Source organism: Homo sapiens, chromosome X (genome assembly GCF_000001405.40).
Source record: "Homo sapiens chromosome X, GRCh38.p14 Primary Assembly".
Lineage (NCBI taxonomy): Eukaryota > Metazoa > Chordata > Mammalia > Primates > Hominidae > Homo > Homo sapiens.
This window is the reverse complement of record NC_000023.11, coordinates 106,470,634-106,496,925: the sequence shown is the minus strand read 5'-3', so window position 1 is coordinate 106,496,925 and position 26,292 is coordinate 106,470,634. Positions and strand designations below refer to the sequence as shown.

The 26,292-nt window shown below is 40.7% G+C and overlaps 1 annotated feature.

The window, feature by feature from the left end:
• Nucleotides 12,344-12,613: an enhancer, noted in NCBI's record as "active region_29827". NCBI's record gives its function as "activates an Ori minimal core promoter by ATAC-STARR-seq in GM12878 lymphoblastoid cells {active_cell/tissue: GM12878}" and the evidence as "EXISTENCE:reporter gene assay evidence [ECO:0000049][PMID:35858748]".

The window sequence follows — 26,292 nt, the reverse complement described above, 5'->3', positions numbered from 1 at the left end:
TTGGTCCATTTTGTGTTGCTATAACAATACCTGAGATTGGGTAATTTATATAGAAAAGAGGCTTATTTAGCTCATGGTTTCACAGGCTGGAAAATTCAGGAAGCACAGTGCTGGCATCTGCTTGGCTTCTGATGAGGGCTTTTATGCTACATCACATCATGTTGGAGAAGATCAAAGGGGAAGTGGACAAACGTGAAGAGCTAAAACCCAAGGGGCATCCTGGCTTTACAACAACCCACTCTTATGCGAACTAATCTATTGCCACAGGGACTAGTCCAGTGTCACCAGAGCAAGAACTCACTCACTACTGGAAGAATGGCACCAAGCCACCCATGAAGGTGGAGCCCCTGTGATCCAATCACTTCGCATTATGCTCCACTTGCCAACACCATCACATTGGGGATTGCATTTCAAGCTGAGTTTTGGTGGGGACAAAAAACCAATTCTGAACCATAGCAGGTGAAGATTGTACAACTTGGTAAATTTACTACAAATTATTGAAATGTACACTTTAAAATAGTGAATTACATAATAAACAAAACATGTATCAATAATAATAATACTTAAAAAGATCTCCATACATAGAAAACTCCCAATCCAGATGGCTTCACTGGTGAATTCAGTGGTATTCTGGTATGTGTTTAGCAAACTTTTCTTCTGGGTTGGTTGCAGGGGGTCGATGTTCAGAAGAAGCTCTATTTTTAGCATTTCTTAGCGTTTGTCAATTTCTGTGGTATAAAATCTCGCACTGTGGCTGATTTCAAGCTATCAACGTGATGTCACTGAAAGCAGAGTTGGGAAGGTATTCTAACAATATCTTTCAAGAGCTAGTATTATTAGCTGGCTCTCAGCCCACCACTTGGTAAATTCTACCAAATATTCTGGTTGAATTATCTTCCAATTTCCTTTGTCATATCTTCTTTTACGTGTGGGTTGTTTTGAATAGTGTTGCTCAGCTTACTTCCAAATATTTGGGAATTTTCTAGAGATCATGTTATCATTAACTTCTAATTTAATTATATTGTGATGGAAGAACATACTTTGTGTTTTGGATATTTGAAATTTATTAGGTCTTGTTTTATGGCTCAGCATATAAAAGTTTAAGTAAAAAGCCCATATGCACTTGAAAAAAAAGTGTTAGGCAGTGTTCTAGAGATATAAATTAGGTCAATTAATTTGATAGAGTCCTCCATTTCTTCAGCATTCTTACTGCTAATTCTAACACATGTCACCTAATGATTTGTTTCTATTGGGTTTTAATTTTCCTACTTATGAATTACACTTTTCTGTTTGGCATACCTAGAAATTTTTATTATATACTGGATATTCTGGTTAACACATTGTAGAAGACGGGGAACAGCCTCTTTTATGTTTCTTTTTCTTACAGTTTTTACCTTTTTTTACATTAGTTATACAGTATTAATCATACATAGCTGAGCTACTAACACCTGGGTCCAGGACTGTTCATAAGGATTGTAAGATTCATTACTGCAAGGACATTGGTCTCCCCAAGTTGATCTAAAGATTAAACCCAAACCAAATCCTTATCCCTGTAGGTTTTGTTTGTGAGTGTGTATATGTGTGAAAAGTGACAAACATTTGAAATGTGTTAGTAACGTTGTACAACTTTCTGAGATAATGGACGTATTCTATATTTGTGCTGCTTATGACAGTAGTCAATATCTGGCTATTAAGCACTTGAAATGTGGCTAAAATGGCTGAGAAACTGAATTCTAAAATTGGATTTATTTTTAATTATTTTAAATTTAAATTTAAATAGTGATTCATTGCTAGTCACCACCATATTGGACAGTGCAGGTCTATGAAAATGCAGAATGGCAAACATACAGAAGTAATCTTGAAAAAGGAGGACATAGATTGCTGCCCTTCAAACTTATTTATGAAACTATAAGAATTAAAGTATGGAGTACATATATATGCATACACACACTGACTCATCACAAAGAGCATAAAATGTATGTGTATACAGTTATATACATAGGAGTCACATGATCCATGATAAATGTGACACTGAAGTATAATGTGGAAAGAATGGCCTTTTCAAGAACTGATGTTAGTCAGTTGAATATCTATTTGAAAAAGAAAGTTAATCTTGTGTGACTCCTTTTCAAACTATGAACAAAAATCAATTGGGGCCGGGCATGGTGGCTCATGCCTGTAATCCCAGCACTTTGGGAGGCCGAGGCGGGCGGATCACTTCAGCTCAGGAGTTCAAGGCCAGCCTGGCCAACATGGTGAAACCCTGTCTCTACCAAAAATACAAAAATTAGCTGGGTGTGGTGGCATGTCTGTAGTACCAGCTACGTGGGAAGCTGAAGCAGGAGAATCACTTGAACCCAGAAGGCAGAGGCTGCTGTGAGCTGAGATCGCACCACTGCACTCCAGCCTGGGTGACAGAGTGAGACTCCATCTCAAAACAAAACAAAACAAAAATCAGTTGGAGAAGATTTCCAAATATAAATGTGAAAGTTAAAAAAAAGTTTAAAGAGAATGCAGGGAATATCTTCATGACTTTGTAGTAAGCAACAATTTTCTTATCAGGACACACCAAAAGAGAAAAAAGTACTAACAATAAAGACACAAGGGGGATCTCTCCAGGCAAATGACTGAATAGAAACAGCTGCGGTCTGCAGCTCCCAGTGAGATCGACACAGAAGTCGGGTGATTTCAGCATTTCCGACTGAGGTGCCCAGTTCATCTCACTGGGACTGGTTGGACAATGGGTGCAGCCCACGGAGGGTGAGCCGAAGCAGGCTGAGGCATTGCCTCACCCAGGAAGTGCAAGGGGTTGGGGAATTTTCTCCCCAACCCAATGGAAGCCCTTAGGGACTGAGCCTGAGGAACTGTGCACTCCAGTCCAGATACTGTGCTTTTCCCATGGTCTTCACAACCTGCAGACCAGGGGATCCCCTCTGGTGCCTACCCCACCAGGGCCCTGGGTTTCAAGCACAAACCTGAGCGGCCATTTGGGCAGACACTGAACTAGCTGCAAGACGTTTTTTTTTTTTGTTTTTTTTTTTTTTTTATTCCGTACCCCAGTGGCTCCTGGAACGCCAGTGAGACTGAAGCATTCACTCCCCTGGAAAGGGGTGCTGAAGCCAGGGAGCCAAGTGGTCTGGTTTAGGCAGGTCCCACCCCCATGGAGTCCAGCAAACTAAGATCCACTGGCTTGAAATTCTCACTGCCAGCACAGCAGCAATCTGAGATCGACCTGGGATGCTCCAGCTTGGTGGGGGGAGGGGCGTCTGCCATTGCTGAAGCTTGATTAGGTGGTTTTACCCTCACAGAGTAAACAAAACCGCTGGGAAGTTTGAACTGGGCGGAGCCCACTGCAGCTAAGCAAGGCCTCCGTGGCCAGACTGTCAGATTTCTTCTCTCTGGGCAAGGCATCTCTGAAAAAAAAGAAAAAGGCAACAGCCCCAGTCAGGGACTTACAGATAAAAACCCCATCTCCCTGGGACAGAGCACCTGGGGGAAGGGATGGCTGTGGGTGGAGCTTCAGCAGACTTAAACCTCCCTGCCTGACAGTTCTGAAGAGAGCAGTGGACCTCCCAGCACAGCTTCTGAGCTCTGCTAAGGGTCAGACTGCCTCCTCAAGTTGGTCCCTGACCCCCATGTATCCTGACTGGGAGACACCTCCCAGTAGGGGCTGACAGACACCTCATACAGGAGAGCTCTGGCAGGTACCCCTGTGGGATGAAGCTTCCAGAGGAAAGAGCAGGCAGCAATCGGCAGCAATCTTTGCTGTTCTGCAGCCTCCACAGGTGATACTCAGGCCAGCGGTCTGGAGTGGACCTCCAGCAAACTCCAGCAAACTCCAGCAGACCTGCAGCAGACGGGCCTGAATGTTAGAAGGAAAGCTAACAAACAGAAAGGAATAGCACATCCACTCAAAGACCCCATGCGAAGGTCATCAACATCAAAGACCAAAGGTAAATAGATCCACAAAGATGGAGAGAAACCAGCACAAAAATGCTGAAAATTCCAAAAACCAGAACACCTCTTCTCCAAAGGATCACAACTTCTTGCCAGCAAGGGAGCAAAACTGGATGGAGAATGAGTTTGACGAATTGACAGAAGTAGACTTCAGAAGGTGGGTAATAACAAACTCCTCCGTGCTAAAGGAGCATGTTCTAACCCAATGCAAGGAAAGTAAGAACCTTGAAAAAAGGTTAGACGAATTGCTAACTAGAGTAACTGGTTTAGAGAAGAACATAAATGACCTTATGGAGCTGAAAAACTTAGCATGAGAACTTCATGAAGCATACACAAGTATTGATAGCTGAATCGATCAAGCAGAACAAATGCTATCAGAGATTGAAGATCAACTTAATGAAATAAAGCAAGAAGACAAGATTAGAGAAAAAAGACTAAAAAGGAATGAACAAACCTCCAAGAAATATGAGACTATCTGAAAAGACCAAATTTTTTTGATTTGATTGGTGTACCTGAAAGTGATGGGGAGAATGGACCCAAGATGGAAAACACTCTTCAGGATATTATCCAGGAGAACTTCCCCAACCTAGAAAAACAGGACAACATTCAAATTTAGGAAATGTAGAGAACACCACAAAGATACTCTTTGAGAAGAGCAACCCCAAGACACATAATCATCAGATTCACCAAGGTTGAAAAGAAGGAAAAAATGTTAAGGGCATCCAGAGAGAAAGGGCGGGTTACTCACAAAGGGAAGCCCATCAGACTAACAGCAGATCTCTCTGCAGAAACTCTACAAGCTAGAAGAGAGTGGGGGCCAATATTCAACATTCTTAAAGAAAAGAATTTTCAACCCAGAATTTCATATCCAGCCAAACTAAGTTTCATAAGCAAAGGAGGAATAAAATCCTTTACAAACAAGCAAATGCTGAGAGATTTTTGTCACCACCAGGCCTGCCTTACAAGAGATCCTGAAGGAAGCACTAAACATGGAAAGGAACAACTGGTACCAGCCACTGCAAAAACATACCAAATTGTAAACACCATCGACATTATGAAGAAACTGCAACAACTAATGGGCAAAATAACCAGCTAGCATCATAATGACAGGATCACATTCACACATAACAATATTAACCTTAAATGTAAATGGGCTAAATGCTCCAATTAAAAGACACAGACTGGCAAATTAGATAAAGAGTCAAGACCCATCAGTATGCTGTATTCAGGAGACCCATCTCATGTGCAAAGACACACATAGGCTTAAAATAAAAGGATGGAGGAATATTTACCGAGCAAATGGAAAGCAAAAAAAAAAAAAAAAAAGCAGGAGTTGCAATCCTAATCTCTGATAAAACAGACTTTAAATCAACAAAGATCAAAAGAGACAAAGAAGACTATTACATAATGGTAAAGGGATCAATTCAACAAGAAGAGCTAACTATCCTAAATATATATGCACCCGACGCAGGAGCACCCAGATTCATAAAACAACTTCTTAGAGACCTACAAAGAGACTTAGACTCCCACACAATAATAATGGGAGACTTTAACACCCCACTGTCAATATTAGACAGATCAATGAGACAGAAAATTAACAAGGATATTCAGGACTTGAACACAGCTCTGGACCAAGCCGACCTAATAGACATCTACAGAACTCTCCACCTAAAATCAACAGAATATGCATTCTTCTCAGCACCTCATTGCACTTATTCTAAAATTGACCACATAATTGGAAGTAAAACACTCCTCAGCAAATGCAAAAGAAGGGAAATCATAACAAACAGTCTCTCAGACCACAGTGCAATCAAATTAGAACTCAGGATTAAGAAACTCACTCAAAACCACACAACTACATGGAAACTGAACAACCTGCTCCTGAATAACTACTGGGTAAATAACAAAATGAAGGCAGAAATAAAGATGTTATTTGAAACCAATAAGAATGAAGACACAATGTACCAGAATCTCTGGGACACATTTAAAGCAGTTTGTAGAGGGAAATGTATAGCACTAAATGCCCACAAGAGAAAGAGGAAAGATCTAAAATTGACACCCTAACATCACAATTAAAAGAACTAGAGAAGCAAGAGCAAACAAATTCAAAAGCTAGCAGAAGACAAGAAATAACTAAGATCAGAGCAGAACTGATGGAGATAGAGACACAAAAAACCCTTCAAAAAATCAGTGAATCCAGGAGCTGGCTTTTTGAAAAGATCAACAAAATAGATAGACAGCTAGCAAGAATAATAAAGAAGAAAAGAGAGAAGAATCAAATAGATGCTATAAAAAAAGATAAAGGGGATATCCCACCAATCCCACAGAAATACAAGCTACCGTAAGACAATACTATAAATGAGAAGTGAAGCCAGCTGCAGTTCCTGGGTTGAGTGACAACTTGGAGAACTTTTCTGTCTAGCTACAGGATTGTAAACACACCAATCAGCAATCTGTTTCTAGATAAAGGATTGTAAATGCACCAATCAGCACTCTGTAAAAACGCACCAATCAGTACTCTGTGTCTAGCTAAAGGATTGTAAATGCACCAATCAGCACTCTGTAAAAATGCTCCAATCAGTGCTCTGTGTCTAGCTAAATGATTGTAAATGCACCAATCAGCGCTCTGTAAAATGGACCAATCAGCACTCTGTAAAATGGACCAGTCAGCACTCTGCAAAATGGACCAATCAGCAGGACGTGGGCAGGGACAAATAAGGGAATAAAAGCTGGCCACTCCAGCCAGCAGCAGCAACCCACTCAGGTCCCCTTCCATGCTGTGGAAGCTTTGTTTCTTCGTTCTTCACAATAAATCTTGCTGCTGCTCACTCTTTGGGTCCACACCACCTGGAAGAGCTGTGACACTCACTGCAAGGGTCTGCAGCTTCATTCCTGAAGTCAGTGAGAACACGAATGCACCAGGAGGAACAAACAACTCCAGACGCGCCACCTTTAAGAGCTGTAACACTCACTGCGAGGTCCATGGCTTCATTCTTGAAGTGAGACCAAGAACCCACTGGAAGGAATAAATTCCGGACACATAAACACCTCTATGCAAATAAACTAGAAAATCTAGAAGAAATGGATAAATTCCTCGACACATACACCCTCCCAAGTCTAAACCAAGAAGAAGTCCAATCCCTGAATAGACCAATAACAAGTTCTGAAATTGAGGCAGCAATTAATAGCCTACCAACCAAAAAAAGTCCAGGACCAGATGGATTCACAGCTGAATTCTACCAGAGGTACAAAGAGGAGCTGGTACCATTCCTTCTGAAACTATTCCAAACAACAGAAAAAGAGGGAATCCTCCCTAATTCATTTTATGAGGCCAGCATCATGCTGATACCAAAACCTGGCAGAGACACAACAAAAAAAGAAAATTTCAGGCCAATATCCCTGATGAACATCAGTGCAAAAATCCTCAATAAAATACTGGCAAACTGAATCCAGCAGCACATCAAAAAGCTTATCCACCATGATCAAGTGGGCTTCATCCCTGGGATGCAAGGCTGGTTCAACATATGCAAATCAATAAATGTAATCCATCACATAAACAGAGCCAATGATAAAAACCACATGATTATCTCAATAGATGCATAAAGGGCCTTCAACAAAATTCAATACCGCTTCTGCTAAAAACTCTCAACAAACTAGGTATCGAAGGAACGTATCTAAAAATAATAAACGCTATTTATGACAAACCCACAGCCAATATCATACTGAGTGGGCAAAAACTGGAAGCATTCCCTTTGCAAACAGGTAGAAGACAAGGATGCCCTCTCTCACTACTCCTGCGATTCAACATAGTATTGGAAGCTCTGGCCAGGGCAATCAGGCAAAAGAAAGAAACAAAGCATATTCAAATAGGAAGAGAGGAAGTCAAATTGTCTCTGCTTGCAGATGACATGATTCTACATTTAGAAAACCCCATCGTCTCAGCCCAAAATCTCTTAAGCTGATAAGCAACTTCAGCAAAATCTCAGGATACAAAATCAATGTGCAAAAATCACAAGCACTCCTATACACCAATAACAGACAAACAGAGAGCCAAATCATGAGTGAACTCCCATTCTCAATTGCTACTAAAGAGAATAAAATAGCTAGGAATACAACTTACAAGGGTTACGAAGGACCTCTTCAAGGAGAACTACAAACCACTGCTCAAGGAAATAAGAGAGGACACAAACAAATGGAAAAACATTCCATGCTCATGGATAGGAAGAATCAATATCATTAAAATGGCCTTACTGCCCAAAGTAATTTATAGATTCAATGTTATCCCCATCAAGCTACCACTGACTTTCTTCACAGAATTGGAAAAAACTACTTTAAACTTCATATGGAACCAAAAAAAGAGCCCACATAGCCAAGACAATCCTAAGCAAAAAGAACAAAGCTGGAGGCATCACACTACCTGATTTCAAACTATACTGCAAGGCTACAGTAGCCAAAACAGCATAGTACTGGTACCAAAACAGATATATAGACCAATGGAACAGAACGGAGGCCTCAGAAGTAGCACCACACATCTACCACCATTTGATCTTTGACAAACCTAACACACACAAGCAATGGGGAAAAGATTCCCTATTTAATAAATGGGGTTGGGAAAACTGACTAGCCATATGCAGAAAACTGAAACTGGACCCTTTCCGTACACCTTATACAAAAATCAACTCAAGATGGATTAAAGACTTAAATGTAAGACCTAAAACCATAAAAATCATAGAAAAAATCCTAGGCAATACCATTCAGGACATAAGTGTGGGCAAAGACTTCATCTCTAAAACACCAAAAGCAATGACAACAAAAGCCAAAATTGACAAATGGGATCTAATTAAACTAAAGAGCTTCTGCACAGCAAAAGAAACTATCATCAAAGTGAACAGACAACATACAGAATGAGAGAAAATTTTTGCAATCTATCCATCTGATAAATGGCTAATATCCAGAATCTACAAAGAACTTAAACAAATTTACAAGAAAAAAACCAAACAACCACATCAAAAAGTGGGCAAAGGATATGAACAGACACTTCTCCAAAGAAGACATTTATGCAGCCAAAAAACACATGAAAAAATGCCCATCATCACTGGCCATCAGAGAAATGCAAATCGAAACCACAATGAGATACCATCTCACACCATTTATAATGGCAATCATTAAAAAGTCAGGAAACAACAGGTGCTGGAGAGGATGTGGAGAAATAGGAACACTTTTACACTTTTGGTGGGACTGTAAACTAGTTCAACCATTGTGGAAGACAGTGTGGTGATTCCTCAAGGATCTAGAACCAGAAATACCATTTGACCCAGCCATCCCATTACTGGGTATATACCCAAAGGATTATAAATCATTCTACTATAAAGACACATGCACACATATGTTTATTGTGGCACTATTCACAATAGCAAAGACTTGGAACCAACCCAAATGCCCATCAGTGGTAGATTGTATAAAGAAAATGTGGCACATATACACTATGGAATACTATGCAGCCATAAAAAGAATGAGTTCATGTCCTTTGCAGAGACATGGATGAAGCTGGAAACCATCATTCTCAGCAAACGATCACAAGAAAAGAAAACCAAACACCGCATGTTCTCACTCATAAGTGAGAGCTGAACAATGAGAACACATGGACACAGCGAGGGGAACATCACACACCGTGGCCTGTTGTGGGGTGGGGGGAGTGGGGAGGGATAGCATTAGGAGAAATACCTAATATAAGTGACGGGTTGTTGGGTGCAGCAAACCACCATGGCACGTGTATACACATGTAACAAAACTGCATGCTCTGCACATGTACCCCAGAACTTAAAGTATAAGAAAGAAAGAAAGAAAGAAAGAAAGAAAGAAAGAAAGAAAGAAAGAAAGAAAGAAAGAAAGAAAGAAAGAAAGAAAAAGAAGGGAGGGAGGGAGGGAAGGAGGGAGAAAGACATACAATTTAAGAACATTTGCTCATCAAAATGCACCATTAAGAAAGAGAAAAGGCAGTCCATTGATGAGAGTATTTATTTGAAATAAATGTACTTACCACAGAATTTGTATGCAGAATATATGAAGAATTTCTACAAATCCATAAGAAAAGGCAGGCAACCCAGTGGAAAATGGGAAAAGATAAACAGGCCATTCAGAAAAAATGGCTAATATAAATGACTAATGAACAAATAAAAGGATTCTCAGCTTCATTATTCATCAGGATCAGGGAAATGAAAATTAATGCCATATGGTAATACTTTTACTCTCACACCTGAATAGATAAAATGAAAAATGATAGAAATATCATTTCTTTCTGAAGACATGAGCAACTGGAATTGTCAAAAACTGCTAGTGGAAGTGGAAATTGATACAACTACCTTGGAAATTTACATGGCAATATCTAATATGTATGAATTTATGCATAACCTATAATACAGCAAATTTTACTTCTAGGTATTTATCCAACAGAAGTATATGCATATGTTCACCAGAACACATGTATAAGATTGTTCATAGCATTACTATTTATTTATACTAGGCAACAATTTAAAAACTTCCCCATTTACAAAAAGTAAAATGATTAAATAAATTGTGTTGTATTCACACAATAAAATAGCACACAGCAATGAAAATGAACAGTCTATAACTACTCACAAAAACGAATGAATCTTACAAAAGAAATCAGTTACAAAATAGTATTATATGACTATTTTTATATAAAGCTCAAAAATAGACAAAACTAATCTATGATGATACAAGTCAGGTAAGTGTTCATTCTCAGGAGGCTTAATAATTTGAAGCAGCCATCAGTGGGGAGTCTGGTATGTGGCAATGTTCTGTTTTTCATTCTGAGAGCTATTACATAGATGTGTTCACACTGCAAAAATTCATAGAATTTTATGCTTATGGCTTGTTCACTTTTTTCCTGTAGATTATACTTCAGTAAAAATTAATAAAACAGAAATGAAAATAACAGACTCATCGACCCTAGGCCCTTGTAAAATCCAGAAGTCTTCTATACAGCTGTGCTTAAAGAGAGCCTCATCTGCAGCAGCAAGGAAGACTGTGCTGAAAATCAGGGCTGGGAGCTAATTGTAAGGGGGGTAGAGATTCAAAATGGCACTGGATATATAACTTGAAGAGGTCTCCTATGTCAAAATCAGGGACCTCATGAAAAACAGTAACCGTAAGACTTGGATTAGGGAGATTTGCATGGAAGAGCCTGAGAATCTTGAACTACCAGATTCCCCTTAATCTTTCAGATCAGCAGCAGTTCCCCTACACCTGCCCCTCTGACTTGCTAGAGGAGAGCAACCTCCTCAGACTTGGAGACCCTGAAAATACATTACCAACACAGGAGATTTACATAAGGGCACATTCAACATCTGCACTCTCATTGCAACCAAACCAATTAGCATTATAGGCAGAGCTGGGAAGTAAAGTCCCTGCTCTTGGAGGAAAGATGTTACAACCAAAAGAAATGGAAAACCTGGCTCAAATATACTGGCACAAACCCTGGGAACATATGTGGGAGTAGATCTTGAGGCTTTGAATGGGAATCAGGGAGAATAAAGGAGAATTACTGACATGACATGACACCCAGCAGAACCATTATATGATTACTCTCTCCTAGAAGAAAATGACTGGCTGGTTAACTGCTTGCTATAGAAAGGTGCTAAACCCTTGGCTCTGGTTGCTCAGCTGTGGTGCAACCCAGTGTTTATAGCCCACCTGCTCTTTCCAGGTTGCATAGTGGAAGTTGGAGACAGGTAAATTGGTGCTACCAGGCTGATATTCCTGCTGTTTGATGTGCTGTAAATAATAAATTGTTTTGCTCTGAGCCATTAAATGTTGTTGTCTTCTTTTGGCACTTGTGGAGTGTGGCAAACTGATATGCTTGCTTACTTAATCATTTCCTTTGGAGTCTAGCTACTCCATGCCATCCTATATGAATGAGTTTCTGCAAGGATTGGCATAGGAAGCAAGGTGCCAATATAGACAATGACTTTTTGAAAGAGAAAAGGCAGGGGACCTATGGGACAATTCAGGGATGTAAGGAAGCTCCCTGGGAGATAGGAGGGATTGTGTCTGCCCAAATAGTAAATTAAGGGGAAGGTAAATGGTCTGCTTTTTGAACATGAGGTGAGTTGATGAATAGACACTGAGTGTAAGAGGTCAGATTACAATAAACTATTCAAAAGGCATCCTCTTCTACAGAGTAGGGGACAAAGGAAACACCTCTGATTCCTGTCAAAGAGAAAAGCACAACTTTCCCCCATTTGAAAACCACGATTACTATTCCTGTAACTGCAATATAACCCCATGCAGAGTAGTAAGATGCACCCAAGAGGCAAAGGAGGGAAACCTGATAAAACTTCTGTCCAAAGAGTGGGGTGCTGTTAGAGATTCAGTTGGTGCGTCTCGTGCTGAAAGAAGAACGGTTATGCTTTACAGAGTGAATGGTAGCAAGCAGGCCTTCTCACATATGATTCATACAGACTCTTCAGTCAGGGCAGAATCATGTCACAAACCATGGCTTTGCTGGTTTCAATTTCTATTTCAATGACGATATTATGTTGAACCTGGGGAGAATACCAAGGAGGAAGTTGTTCAAAACATGATGGTTGTAGCTGCTCCAGAATGACTGTACCATGGGCAGAATGCTAATTTTGATAACGAGCCTTTCATCCAGAGAATGCCTGATAAGTGTTTATTCTCTGCCTCCCTAAAGTGAAAGTGGATGACTAACTTTGTTGTTAGTACCTCGAGACCCTGTGCAGGTGGCTATGATTGTAGGTTGAAAAATGCCTAAGAGAAAGACAGACCCATCCTCATCTAAGCAAAATTTCTGTAATCTGAGATAAAATAAAGAACAGTGGGAAAAAGAATAAATCCCCTACAAAGGAACCTAGCCATAAGTCAATATAGATTTGGCTGTAAAACAGAGTTTCTCAAAGAAGAGATTAATGGGTTGAGCACTGAAGCAACTGGGTCCAGATAGGAGCTATAGGCATAGGGAGAAGGGGCACAAACAGGCAGTTGTTTATCCGGTTGAAACTTAAAGTGCCTCAGTGGGGACAGATTTCTCCATGGAGATCAATATCTCTTTATAGGAGGAAGTAAGAAGCCATTTCTAGTTAGCTGGATAGAAATGTTGGTAGTCTGGGTACCCCATTTGTGGGTTCCGTCTTTATAGGAGGAAGCAAGAAGCCAGTTGGCTACCATAGAATGATAGTCAACTGGCTTCTCACTTCCTCATTATTATCCTATAGTAGCCAACTGGCTATCATTCCTTCAGCATTTCCACTGCTGGACCCTAAGCCCATGTATCGTGATCTGAAGAAGGGGGACTAAGCGTGAGGTCAAGGTCTTTCTGTCCCCAGTGGGGCCCAGAGGTCATATGCCTCTGCAAGGGTACAATGTGGCATGGGGTAAAGGTAGGAGATGAGAAATTTTGTGGCTTGTTTGGATACCAGTGCTTAAATAACTCTCTTATCAGATTCTGTTGAGGGACAAGTGCTACCAGTGAATTGGCTGAATTTGGCGATGTAGTGAAACAGAAAAGGGGATTAACTGTAACCATCTGGGTGTGGTCACTTAGACTCCCACTACTGCTGTTACTCTTACTGCTTGATGTATAATTGCTATTGCTGTTTTACATGCATTTACTGTGAGTACTCATAGAGTCTAAGAAGGGGGATTCTCCCACTTGTGAAAAAGAGCATCTTGCAATATGATGATAGTGAGAAGATTACACCAAAACCACCAACTAGACTTCCAGTTCTCTCCTGTATTACACTACACAAATAATATAGAATTCCAGGAGATGAGAAAGTAATCAAGGCCTTAATGAAGGACTTAAAGACAGTAGGAGTGTTGAAAGCTTTTATATCTTGACAATGGCCCTGAGTGTCTAGTGAAACAGGTGAATGGGAGGTGGAGGCTTATTGCCAGCTGAATTTAGCCATTGTCCCTGTAGCTCCCACACAATTACTATGCTATATCTGGAGAAGCTATATTTTCTTGGTGTTTGCCATCAGTGAGCGTGCAGATGTATGGAATAAGTTCTTTTTCCTTTCTTGGATAACTTGATTCCAATATATTGATGATATTGTGCTGGTAAGCCCCAGTAAAGAACAAGTGGTAATGGCTGTTTGCTGACTTGCATGAAAGCCAAGGGGTGGCTCATTACTCCTAATAAAATATAGAGACCAACCACCCAAGTCAAATTATTGAGAGCCATGTGGGCTAAGGCTCAAATATCAATCTCTAAGATATAAAAGGGAAAGTTACTTGCATTTTGACTCACCACTACCTAAAAAGGAGCCCAGAAGTTAATTTGACTGTTTGGATATTCGAGACATTATGTGCCTCATCCAGACAGTTTGTTGCACCTTATGTATGTGTTGAGCAGAAAATCTAGAAAATTTAACTGGTTATGGTAATAACAGGTAGGCTAGGGCAGTGACATGGGCCTGTAAAACCCCAAGGGTCCCTTGTAACTACAAGTATCTGCTACTGATGACTATGCTGTGTTGAGCTTCTACCAAAGAGAGACTGCTTCCACCTGTATGTGCCCGTCGAGTTCCCTGACCAGGCCACCCATCACACTCCATTTGGGAAATAACTAACTGGCCTTCTAATGGGAAGTTGTGGAGAATGAGAACCTTATTCTGGAATGCCAGGTAACATTTTGCCCAGACACCTCCATCTTGGGTTTGTTCATTCAGATGCTTACAATAAAGTCAGAAAGGCCCAACAGTCTTCTTTTATTAAATGGAAATATTATATTTAAGAGAGAGGCAGATCTGGTCCCACAACTGTGTCCTCCATATACAAAAAGGTTACATACCTTTAGAGGCTTTTGAACCTCCCCTTGCTCATTCACAAGGGAAGCCTTTTGCTATCTGGTGATCACACTTCCAAATCCCCAAGGATGATTGACCTTGGATTACTGATGGCTTAGCTGAAGTAAAAGCTAATGGTCTCACTGGGTATTGGCAGTAATTAAGCCCCAAGGACAGCCCTGGAAGACCTCCTGCAGTGAGGGCCAGTCAGCACAATTGGCTGATTTGAATACTGCCATCCTTGTCCTATATAATACTCATAGAGAAATGGCATATTGTATTTTCACTGACACTTGGGTTAGTGTCAGTGAAAACAGCTCAGCTGTCTGTTTGAATTCATGGAGAATGACTACTGGTATATAAAAGGCACCCCTCTATTGGGCCAGGAACTCTGGAAAGCTATATCTGCAGCCAGACAGAACATTTATGTAATCCATGTGAATGCCAAAGGAAAGCATCCATACTCAGAAAAGCCTAAATCAAACAATGTGGCCAATTGCATGTGCATAGCAATGCTATCTGTATTCATCATAGGACTGGGCAAGTGACTATTCCACCATAATCCAATGGGCTTAAAAGAATTCCATCTGTGTCATCTGTCAGTAGGTGACACAACTTTGAGCCTTGACCATTCCTGAGGGTCTACTTCCATTCTCTGCTGCCACCTTGTGGCTATTTCTGGTATCTAACAGCCATTGAAATCTATTCCAGTTGGAAGAGCCTGCTACGGAACTGAAATTGATTGGACATTTTATAGGAATTGATACAGATGTTGTCCTCAAAAGCTACAAAGCAGTGGTCTGCAAAATAAAATGTGTTGGAAACCTCAAAAAAAAAGAGAAATCTATTCCAGCTATGAAGTTGCCATTCCTGTGTGAGTTGCAGATTCTGGGAATACCATGGTAATACTTGAGTCTGAGTTCTACTGTTTCTGCCACTTACAGTCTTCCAAAGCACAGTGTTCAAGCTTAAGGAGACCCAACAGTGCACTGATGGGGATGTCATTCGCCATGCATCCCATGCCCCTTTTCATGCTCAGGCTGCTGGCATCATCAAGAGGTGGAGTAAATTTTCAAAACCTTGACTGTAAAATATTTCTAGGCAAGCTATGTTGCCAGAATTGTGGACTACACATCATAGTCAGACTGTATGGTTATTATCTGAGGCTTCTCTCTGTAAGAAATATTTATCTTTGAATGGTTGTGTGAATGTCAAGAGAGAAGGGGTCAGAGAACAAGGAGACCAGCCTTCTAGATCAGGGATTCTACACTGACAATCTCCAACCATTCCTCTTTTTTTCACCTTAGACAACAAAGTGAGATAGACTCCAACCTATTGTTCCTGCTATCACCTAGCTTCTGTCATTGGGCATGGGATGTCACAGATCACAAGGATAATGATCCGTTGGTAGAATTTCTGAAGCTTGGATTTACCACTGCAGTGGCTCACTCAAGCAGCAATAGATGATACTAGATCATTGAATAGATAATAATATATCACTGAAATTCCTACTATTGTACCATAGCCCACATAACCCCTGGCACATCTGGATGGGTCTGGGAGCAAGTGGGAGATGGATGGGTGAATAGACAAGGTACTGACTACTGGATTAGGACCAACAGATTGTGTGGCCATGGAGGGAGAGCAACAACCTCATCGCCTGGGGGAAAGTAACAACCTCAGTATATGCGGTCTTTAGACCTTGGAAGGTATGGGAATGGGGGAAGCAATCAATGTTCTATGTCCCCTGGATTCAGTACTACTGCTTGGCAAACATCTCCATGGTCCATCTGAGTGAAGTGGTAGCCGCAGCTGACTAACTCACATTGAGGTCCATCTTTCTCATCCACATGCTAAAAAGCTGAAAATCTCCCATAGCCACGGCTATCAAACTTGGATCCCTTCATGCATGTACAAACACTCTGACCAGTGCAATCTTGTTTATGTGTGACCGGTACTAATCCACATGATTCTTCTGACACACCAATGGCCTATGCCATGTATGGCTATCAAAACTGTGTCTACTCAGTGACGTCACCCATGTGATTTTACCAAAACAATACAAAACCAAGTATAAGAAGCCTCTTCAGGTTATATGCTTGTATGTATTAGAGAGGGGGCCACAGAACATTTCCACTGGGGGTAGTGGTGATTTTTTAGCTCATGTATGGCTCCCAGTAATCACTGAAGGTGATACCACCCATTTTATCCCTTGTTGGAACACTGGATAAAGAGGGCTGTCCTAGCTGGGGGGTACTTTTACTCCTGGTTCTATGCCCCGGCATCAGTGTCCATGCCCCAGAGACAATGATCAGGTACCAATCATTATCTTTAGCAACCATAGCCAATGAGATGCCACAAACTCTATAACATCAGCTAATCAGTCTAAACTTTTTTGTATAGGTTTTAATGAATAATAGACTGGCCTTAGACTACATTCAGGCTCACCAGGGAGTAGTATTTATGTTCATCAGCATCTCCTTTGTGTTTGTCTTCATTCTATTGTTCAGGTAAAGCAGCTCAGCTAATGTATCAGCTCAGGTGCAACACTTTGAGCAGCTAGGGCACTTTCCTCCAGGATCTGAAATAAAAACTGATATTTGATGCTGTGGCCTCCAAATCTAGAGTATGTGAATCTGGGAACCAAGGAGTAAAACATCAGACTGGCTCTTTATATATGTGTGTGTATATATATTACTTTAAGTTCTAGGGTACGTGTGCACAACGTGCAGGTTTGTTACATATGTATACATGTGCCATGTTGGTGTGCCGCACCCATTAACTCGTCATTTACATTAGGTATATCTCCTAATGCTATCCCTCCCCCCTCCCCTCACCCCACAACAGGCCCCAGTGTGTGATGTTCCCCTTCCTGGGTCCAAGTGTTCTCATTGTTCAGTTCCCACCTATGAGTGAGAACATGCGGTGTTTGGTTTTTTGTCCTTGCGATAGTTTGCTGAGAATGATGGTTTCCAGCTTCATCCATGTCCCTACAAAGGACATGAACTCATCCCTTTTATGGCTGCGAAGCATTCCATGGTGTATATGTACCACATTTTCTTAATCCAGTCTATCATTGTTGGACATTTGGGTTGGTTCCAAGTCTTTGCTATTGTGAGTAGTGCCGCAATAAACATACGTGGCCATGTGTCTTTATAGCAGCATGATACAAAGGAGTCTGATTCCATTTTTGAATATTTGAATGCTGAGAGCTTTTAAACCTCAACCCCCCTTCTTCCCCTCCACCCCATATCTGGGCAAACTGATAAAAAGTCCTGGGTAATTTCTCCTTGGGCACTAGCAGGAGGTTCAAACCATGCAAGTCCATACTTGTGCAATTGGAACCCTCATCATGACCCCTCTCCCTAACCACAACAAAAACCTGAAGTCAGTCTTCTTTTTCCACTTTCTCAAGCCATTTTCAGATCATCGTGGGAAGCCTGCCCTTCTCTCCTCTGAAAGCATTTATTATGTAAGTAATAAATCATACCTTCTTGCTTTGTGTAAGATGTTATCAGTCTTGACATCTGAATTAAATTTTAGGTGGGGATTGTAGGGAGAATTCTTACCCAGCGTAATGCCTACGTGGTGTAGGTAAATTTCTACCTTGCCTTAAACTCTGCTTATCTTTAAGACACAGAATGCCTGAGGTCAGAAGTTCCCTTTTGTGACCAAATGGGCTAAGACGGTGGGATCCAAGATGGAAGCTCAACCTCTGAAGAACCTCTAGGTTCATTATAGTCTAATTTCCATGCTAAATAACACACCCACCAACATCATGACCATTGACAGTCTTCATGACAACAACTGGAAGAAACCATAGAAGGACAAAACAGAAGGTGGTACTCCGGTTTTGAGAAGTTTTCTGCCCATTACCGGAAAAGACATGAATATTCCTCCCCTTGCTTTTAATGCCCAACCCATTCATTAAAGATATCCTATATCTGTGTTTTCCCAGCTCTCATGAGTGAACTGAGAAGTTGATTTGTGAGCCACACTCCTGCTTCTCAATTTCATGGCCATCAAACAAGACTGCACTGCTCGAGGCTTTCTTTTGGTTTTGCGTATTGGCTTCACAACACTTAGTAGGAAAAGATCCAATTTTGGGGGGGACCAGCTTTATCAGTAACAAATTGGCTCACACAATCACAAAGGCAAAGTCCTGTGATAGGTTTTCTACAAGATGGAGTGTGAAAGATCCCACCAGCCTGGGTCCTAGAGAATACAGTAGTGTGGCTCAGTCCAAGTTTGAAAGCTCAAAACCAGGGAAGCTGACAGTGAAGACTTTAATCTGAGGCTGAAGGGCTGAAAGCCTCTAGGAGGCTGCTGGTGCAGGTCCCAAAGTCCAAAGGCCGAAGAACCTGAAGTCTGATATCCAAAGGCAGTAGAGGGGAAAGGACATCCTGCTGTAGAAGAGAGAGAGAGCATGAAAAAGAAAACTAAACAAGCTGAATATCTCCCTTCTTCTGGATACTTTGTTCTAGGTCTAACCCCAGATTAGTGCCCATCCACATTGAGAGCATGTCTTCCTCTCTCAGTTCATTGACTCACATGTCAATCTTTTCTGGAAACACCCTCATAGACACAACCAGAAACAATGCTTCACCAACCATCTAGACATCTCTCAATCTAATCAAGTTGACATCTAAAATTAACTGTTACAGGGGTCCATCCTTTCTTTGTAAAGAGGCTACAACAGCTCTTCTCACCATCATTCTCCATAGCACATTTGCACAATGTGTACTTCCTATCCCTGAAACTTTAAGGTCTGCCATATTAGATATCCTGTGTCCCAAGAGAGACTGCTTCCAGTAAGAGACACAGGTTGGTTTCTATTAAACTTGAGGCTACAACCACTACCTGGTCACTTCAATTTCCTCATGGCAATGGATCAGCAGGCAAAGAAAGGAGTTTATATATCAATAGGGAAAATCAACCGTGATTATCACTGTTGGGGTTCAGAAACCGATACCCCAAAATACGGCACTTTGACATGCTGAACTGAAAAAACATCTAGATCTCTCTGACCATCCTCCTCCCTACTGTCTCTCAATCTTCTGTCTCTCCCAAAGCACAGATAGAGTTCTCTGAAGTTTCTTTTCCTGCCTGAAGTGTGGACCCACCAAAGAGAACCACACCTGAACAAACCCTTTCACATGGTAATATCTGTCACACTCATTCAAATTCCCAAGAAAACTATTTACAAGTTAATCTCTGTCCCAAGATCTATTCATTCTCCCTAGTAATCATTTATTGCCCCTCAACAGAATCTCTCTTCTTCCCCCTCCTATAACCTGTTCTGCCACAATAACCTGTTTTGCCAGAATCCAAGCCCCCATTCTTTCTGCAATTTCATGATGGTATATAAGCTTCTACGCCCCATTGGGGTATGAGGCAATTACTCTGTGATTCTTCTTGTGTATGTGTTAATAAATGTGTATGCCTTTTCTCCAATTAATCTGCCTTAGAGGGCACAGAGGTAGATTTTCTTTTGGCCTCTGCACCATGCACAGATAAAGGTTGTTGCTGCATAATGGGGATAGGGAGGAATATGTCTGAAATCCAGAGGATTCATCTGGCATTCTGTTTACAGAAAAACCAAACTCTGTAAAATATTTTAAAGAGGTTTATTTTGAGCCAATATGAGTGATTGCGGTTCAGGGAAAACACTAACACAAAAAGCCTTGAGTAAGTGGTCCTGAGGAAGCCAGGCTACGGTTTGTTTATTATTTTTTTATTTTTTTGCTGATAGTAAATAGAATGCCATACAGTTTGGTTTTATACATTCCAGGGAGGCAGGAATTACATGCAAAAACATAAATCAATACATGGAAGGTAGACATTGGTTCGACAAGATATCTTGAAGCACAGGGTTGAGGGAGAGTGGAGCTTACAGATTATAGGTGAATTTGGAGATTATTTAATTTCCAATTGGTTAAAGGAGTAAGGCTCTGTCTAAAACTTGAGGTCAGAAGAAAGAAAAGTTCAAGTTAAGATAAGGATGCTATATCAGAGCCAATCACAATATACTGGGTCAAAATGACCTCTTTAGCAAGATTGATGGCCTGCAGGCATGACTTAACCCTTGCCTGGCATGGTCCTAGGTTTTGTTTATAATTTGGTGTCTTATTGCCACAAGGTTCTGTTTTGTCAGTCGTATTATCTCTATTTTAACATTCTGCAGGTTGGTTGCTGTCTAAACTACAAAAGGGAAGGGGCATCATGAGGCATGTTTGACCTCCCGTCTTGTCATGGCGGGGAACTCAGTTTTTAAGGTTTCCCTGGGTTCCCCCTGGCCAAGAGGGGGTCTGTTCAGTTAATGGGGTGGGCTTAGAATTTTATTTCTAGTTTACAATTCTTTTGGTGCTTCTGTGCTCACTGACAATGGTAAATGGAATCAGTATAAAATAGTTGTTGATTGCTTCATAATTTTAAGATCATTTACACTTGATGTATTAACTAAATGGGGCTAAATACGACAAAGTGTCCTGTACTATTGTCTCAGAAATCATTCTAGGAAGCTTGTCCTTTTACTCTTTGTCATGGTTAGTCCTGGTCCTTTAAAAACTATCTCTCTATCCTTATTCACTCTTTGGAGACTGCAGGTGGATTTAGCAACATTCATTCTTTAATCACCTTCCCGTTTTTTTTTTTGTTTTGTTTTTTTTTTCGGAGTCTTGCTCTGCCACCCAGGCTTGAGTGCAGTGGTGTGATCTCTGCCTTCCAGGTTCAAGCAATTCTCCTGTCTCAGCCTCCCGAGTAGCTGGGATTACAGTGGCATACCGCCACGCCCGGCTATTTTCCTGTTTTTTTTTTTTTTTTTTTTTTTTATTATACTCTAAGTTTTAGGGTACATGTGCACATTGTGCAGGTTAGTTACATATGTATACATGTGCCATGCTGGTGCGCTGCACCCACTAATGTGTCATCTAGCATTAGGTATATCTCCCAATGCTATCCCTCCCCCCTCCCCCGACCCCACCACAGTCCCCAGAGTGTGATATTCCCCTTCCTGTGTCCATGTGTTCTCATTGTTCAATTCCCACCTATGAGTGAGAATATGCGGTGTTTGGTTTTTTGTTCTTGCGATAGTTTACTGAGAATGATGGTTTCCAATTTCATCCATGTCCCTACAAAGGATATGAACTCATCATTTTTTATGGCTGCATAGTATTCCATGGTGTATATGTGCCACATTTTCTTAATCCAGTCTATCATTGTTGGACATTTGGGTTGGTTCCAAGTCTTTGCTATTGTGAATAGTGCCGCAATAAACATACGTGTGCATGTGTCTTTATAGCAGCATGATTTATAGTCCTTTGGGTATATACCCAGTAATGGGATGGCTGGGTCAAATGGTATTTCTAGTTCTAGATCCCTGAGGAATCGCCACACTGACTTCCACAATGGTTGAACTAGTTTACAGTCCCACCAACAGTGTGAAAGTGTTCCTATTTCTCCACATCCTCTCCAGCACCTGTTGTTTCCTGACTTTTTAATGATTGCCATTCTAACTGGTGTGAGATGGTATCTCATAGTGGTTTTGATTTGCATTTCTCTGATGGCCAGTGATGATGAGCATTTCTTCATGTGTCTTTTGGCTGCATAAATGTCTTCTTTTGAGAAGTGTCTGTTCATGTCCTTCGCCCACTTTTTGATGGGGTTGTTTGTTTTTTTCTTGTAAATTTGTTTGAGTTCATTGTAGATTCTGGATATTAGCCCTTTGTCAGATGAGTAGGTTGCAAAAATTTTCTCCCATGTTGTAGGTTGCCTGTTCACTCTGATGGTAGTTTCTTCTGCTGTGCAGAAGCTCTTTAGTTTAATTAGATCCCATTTGTCAATTTTGGCTTTTGTTGCCATTGCTTTTGGTGTTTTGGACATGAAGTCCTTGCCCACGCCTATGTCCTGAATGGTAATGCCTAGGTTTTCTTCTAGGGTTTTTATGGTTTTAGGTCTAATGTTTAAATCTTTAATCCATCTTGAATTGATTTTTGTATAAGGTGTAAGGAAGGGATCCAGTTTCAGCTTTCTACATATGGCTAGCCAGTTTTCCCAGCACCATTTATTAAATAGGGAATCCTTTCCCCATTGCTTGTTTTTCTCAGGTTTGTCAAAGATCAGATAGCTGTAGATATGCGGCATTATTTCTGAGGGCTCTGTTCTGTTCCATTGATCTATATCTCTGTTTTGGTACCAGTACCATGCTGTTTTGGTTACTGTAGCCTTGTAGTATAGTTTGAAGTCAGGTAGTGTGATGCCTCCAGCTTTGTTCTTTTGGCTTAGGATTGACTTGGCGATGCGGGCTCTTTTTTGGTTCCATATGAACTTTAAAGTAGTTTTTTCCAATTCTGTGAAGAAAGTCATTGGTAGCTTGATGGGGATGGCATTGAATCTGTAAATTACCGTGGGCAGTATGGCCATTTTCACGATATTGATTCTTCCTACCCATGAGCATGGAATGTTCTTCCATTTGTTTGTGTCCTCTTTTATTTCATTGAGCAGTGGTTTGTAGTTCTCCTTGAAGAGGTCCTTCACATCCCTTGTAAGTTGGATTCCTAGGTATTTTATTCTCTTTGAAGCAATTGTGAATGGGAGTTCACCCATGATTTGGCTCTCTGTTTGTCTGTTGTTGGTGTATAAGAATGCTTGCGATTTTTGTACATTGATTTTGTATCCTGAGACTTTGCTGAAGTTGCTTATCAGCTTAAGGAGATTTTGGGCTGAGACGATGGGGTTTTCTAGATAAACAATCATGTCGTCTGCAAACAGGGACAATTTGACTTCCTCTTTTCCTAATTGAATACCTTTTATTTCCTTCTCCTGCCTGATTGCCCTGGCCAGAACTTCCAACACTATGTTGAATAGGAGCGGTGAGAGAGGGCATCCCTGTCTTGTGCCAGTTTTCAAAGGGAATGCTTCCAGTTTTTGCCCATTCAGTATGATATTGGCTGTGGGTTTGTCATAGATAGCTCTTATTATTTTGAAATACGTCCCATCAATACCTAATTTATTGAGAGTTTTTAGCATGAAGGGTTGTTGAATTTTGTCAAAGACTTTTTCTGCATCTATTGAGATAATCATGTGGTTTTTGTCTTTGGCTCTGTTTATATGCTGGATTACATTTATTGATTTGCGTATATTGAACCAGCCTTGCATCCCAGGGATGAAGCCCACTTGATCATGGTGGATAAGCTTTTTGATGTGCTGCTGGATTCGGTTTGCCAGTATTTTATTGAGGATTTTTGCATCAATGTTCATCAAGGATATTGGTCTAAAATTCTCTTTTTTGGTTGTGTCTCTGCCCGGCTTTGGTATCAGAATGATGCTGGCCTCATAAAATGAGTTAGGGAGGATTCCCTCTTTTTCTATTGATTGGAATAGTTTCAGAAGGAATGGTACCAGTTCCTCCTTGTACCTCTGGTAGAATTCGGCTGTGAATCCATCTGGTCCTGGACTCTTTTTGGTTGGTAAACTATTGATTATTGCCACAATTTCAGAGCCTGTTATTGGTCTATTCAGAGATTCAACTTCTTCCTGGTTTAGTCTTGGGAGAGTGTATGTGTCGAGGAATGTATCCATTTCTTCTAGATTTTCTAGTTTATTTGCGTAGAGGTGTTTGTAGTATTCTCTGATGGTAGTTTGTATTTCTGTGGGATCGGTGGTGATATCCCCTTTATCATTTTTTATTGTGTCTATTTGATTCTTCTCTCTTTTTTTCTTTATTAGTCTTGCTAGTGGTCTATCAATTTTGTTGATCCTTTCAAAAAACCAGCTCCTGGATTCATTGATTTTTTGAAGGGTTTTTTGTGTCTCTATTTCCTTCAGTTCTGCTCTGATTTTAGTTATTTCTTGCCTTCTGCTAGCTTTTGAATGTGTTTGCTCTTGCTTTTCTAGTTCTTTTAATTGTGATGTTAGGGTGTCAATTTTGGATCCTTCCTGCTTTCTCTTGTAGGCATTTAGTGCTATAAATTTCCCTCTACACACTGCTTTGAATGCGTCCCAGAGATTCTGGTATGTGGTGTCTTTGTTCTCGTTGGTTTCAAAGAACATCTTTATTTCTGCCTTCATTTCGTTATGTACCCAGTAGTCATTCAGGAGCAGGTTGTTCAGTTTCCATGTAGTTGAGCGGCTTTGAGTGAGATTCTTAATCCTGAGTTCTAGTTTGATTGCACTGTGGTCTGAGAGATAGATAGTTTGTTATAATTTCTGTTCTTTTACATTTGCTGAGGAGAGCTTTACTTCCAACTATGTGGTCAATTTTGGAATAGGTGTGGTGTGGTGCTGAAAAAAATGTATATTCTGTTGATTTGGGGTGGAGAGTTCTGTAGATGTCTATTAGGTCTGCTTGGTGCAGAGCTGAGTTCAATTCCTGGGTATCCTTGTTGACTTTCTGTCTCGTTGATCTGTCTAATGTTGACAGTGGGGTGTTAAAGTCTCCCATTATTAATGTGTGGGAGTCTAAGTCTCTTTGTAGGTCACTCAGGACTTGCTTTATGAATCTGGGTGCTCCTGTATTGGGTGCATAAATATTTAGGATAGTTAGCTCCTCTTGTTGAATTGATCCCTTTACCATTATGTAATGGCCTTCTTTGTCTCTTTTGATCTTTGTTGGTTTAAAGTCTGTTTTATCAGAGACTAGGATTGCAACCCCTGCCTTTTTTTGTTTTCCATTGGCTTGGTAGATCTTCCTCCATCCTTTTATTTTGAGCCTATGTGTGTCTCTGCACGTGAGATGGGTTTCCTGAATACAGCACACTGATGGGTCTTGACTCTTTATCCAACTTGCCAGTCTGTGTCTTTTAATTGCAGAATTTAGTCCATTTATATTTAAAGTTAATATTGTTATGTGTGAATTTGATCCTGTCATTATGATGTTAGCTGGTGATTTTGCTCATTAGTTGATGCAGTTTCTTCCTAGTCTCGATGGTCTTTACATTTTGGCATGATTTTGCAGCGGCTGGTACCGGTTGTTCCTTTCCATGTTTAGCGCTTCCTTCAGGAGCTCTTTTAGGGCAGGCCTGGTGGTGACAAAATCTCTCAGCATTTGCTTGTCTATAAAGTATTTTATTTCTCCTTCACTTATGAAGCTTAGTTTGGCTGGATATGAAATTCTGGGTTGAAAATTCTTTTCTTTAAGAATGTTGAATATTGGCCCCCACTCTCTTCTGGCTTGTAGGGTTTCTGCCGAGAGATCCGCTGTTAGTCTGATGGGCTTTCCTTTGAGGGTAACCCGACCTTTCTCTCTGGCTGCCCTTAACATTTTTTCCTTCATTTCAACTTTGGTGAATCTGACAATTATGTGTCTTGGAGTTGCTCTTCTCGAGGAGTATCTTTGTGGCGTTCTCTGTATTTCCTGAATCTGAACGTTGGCCTGCCTTGCTAGATTGGGGAAGTTCTCCTGGATAATATCCTGCAGAGTGTTTTCCAACTTGGTTCCATTCTCCACATCACTTTCAGGTACACCAATCAGACGTAGATTTGGTCTTTTCACATAGTCCCATAT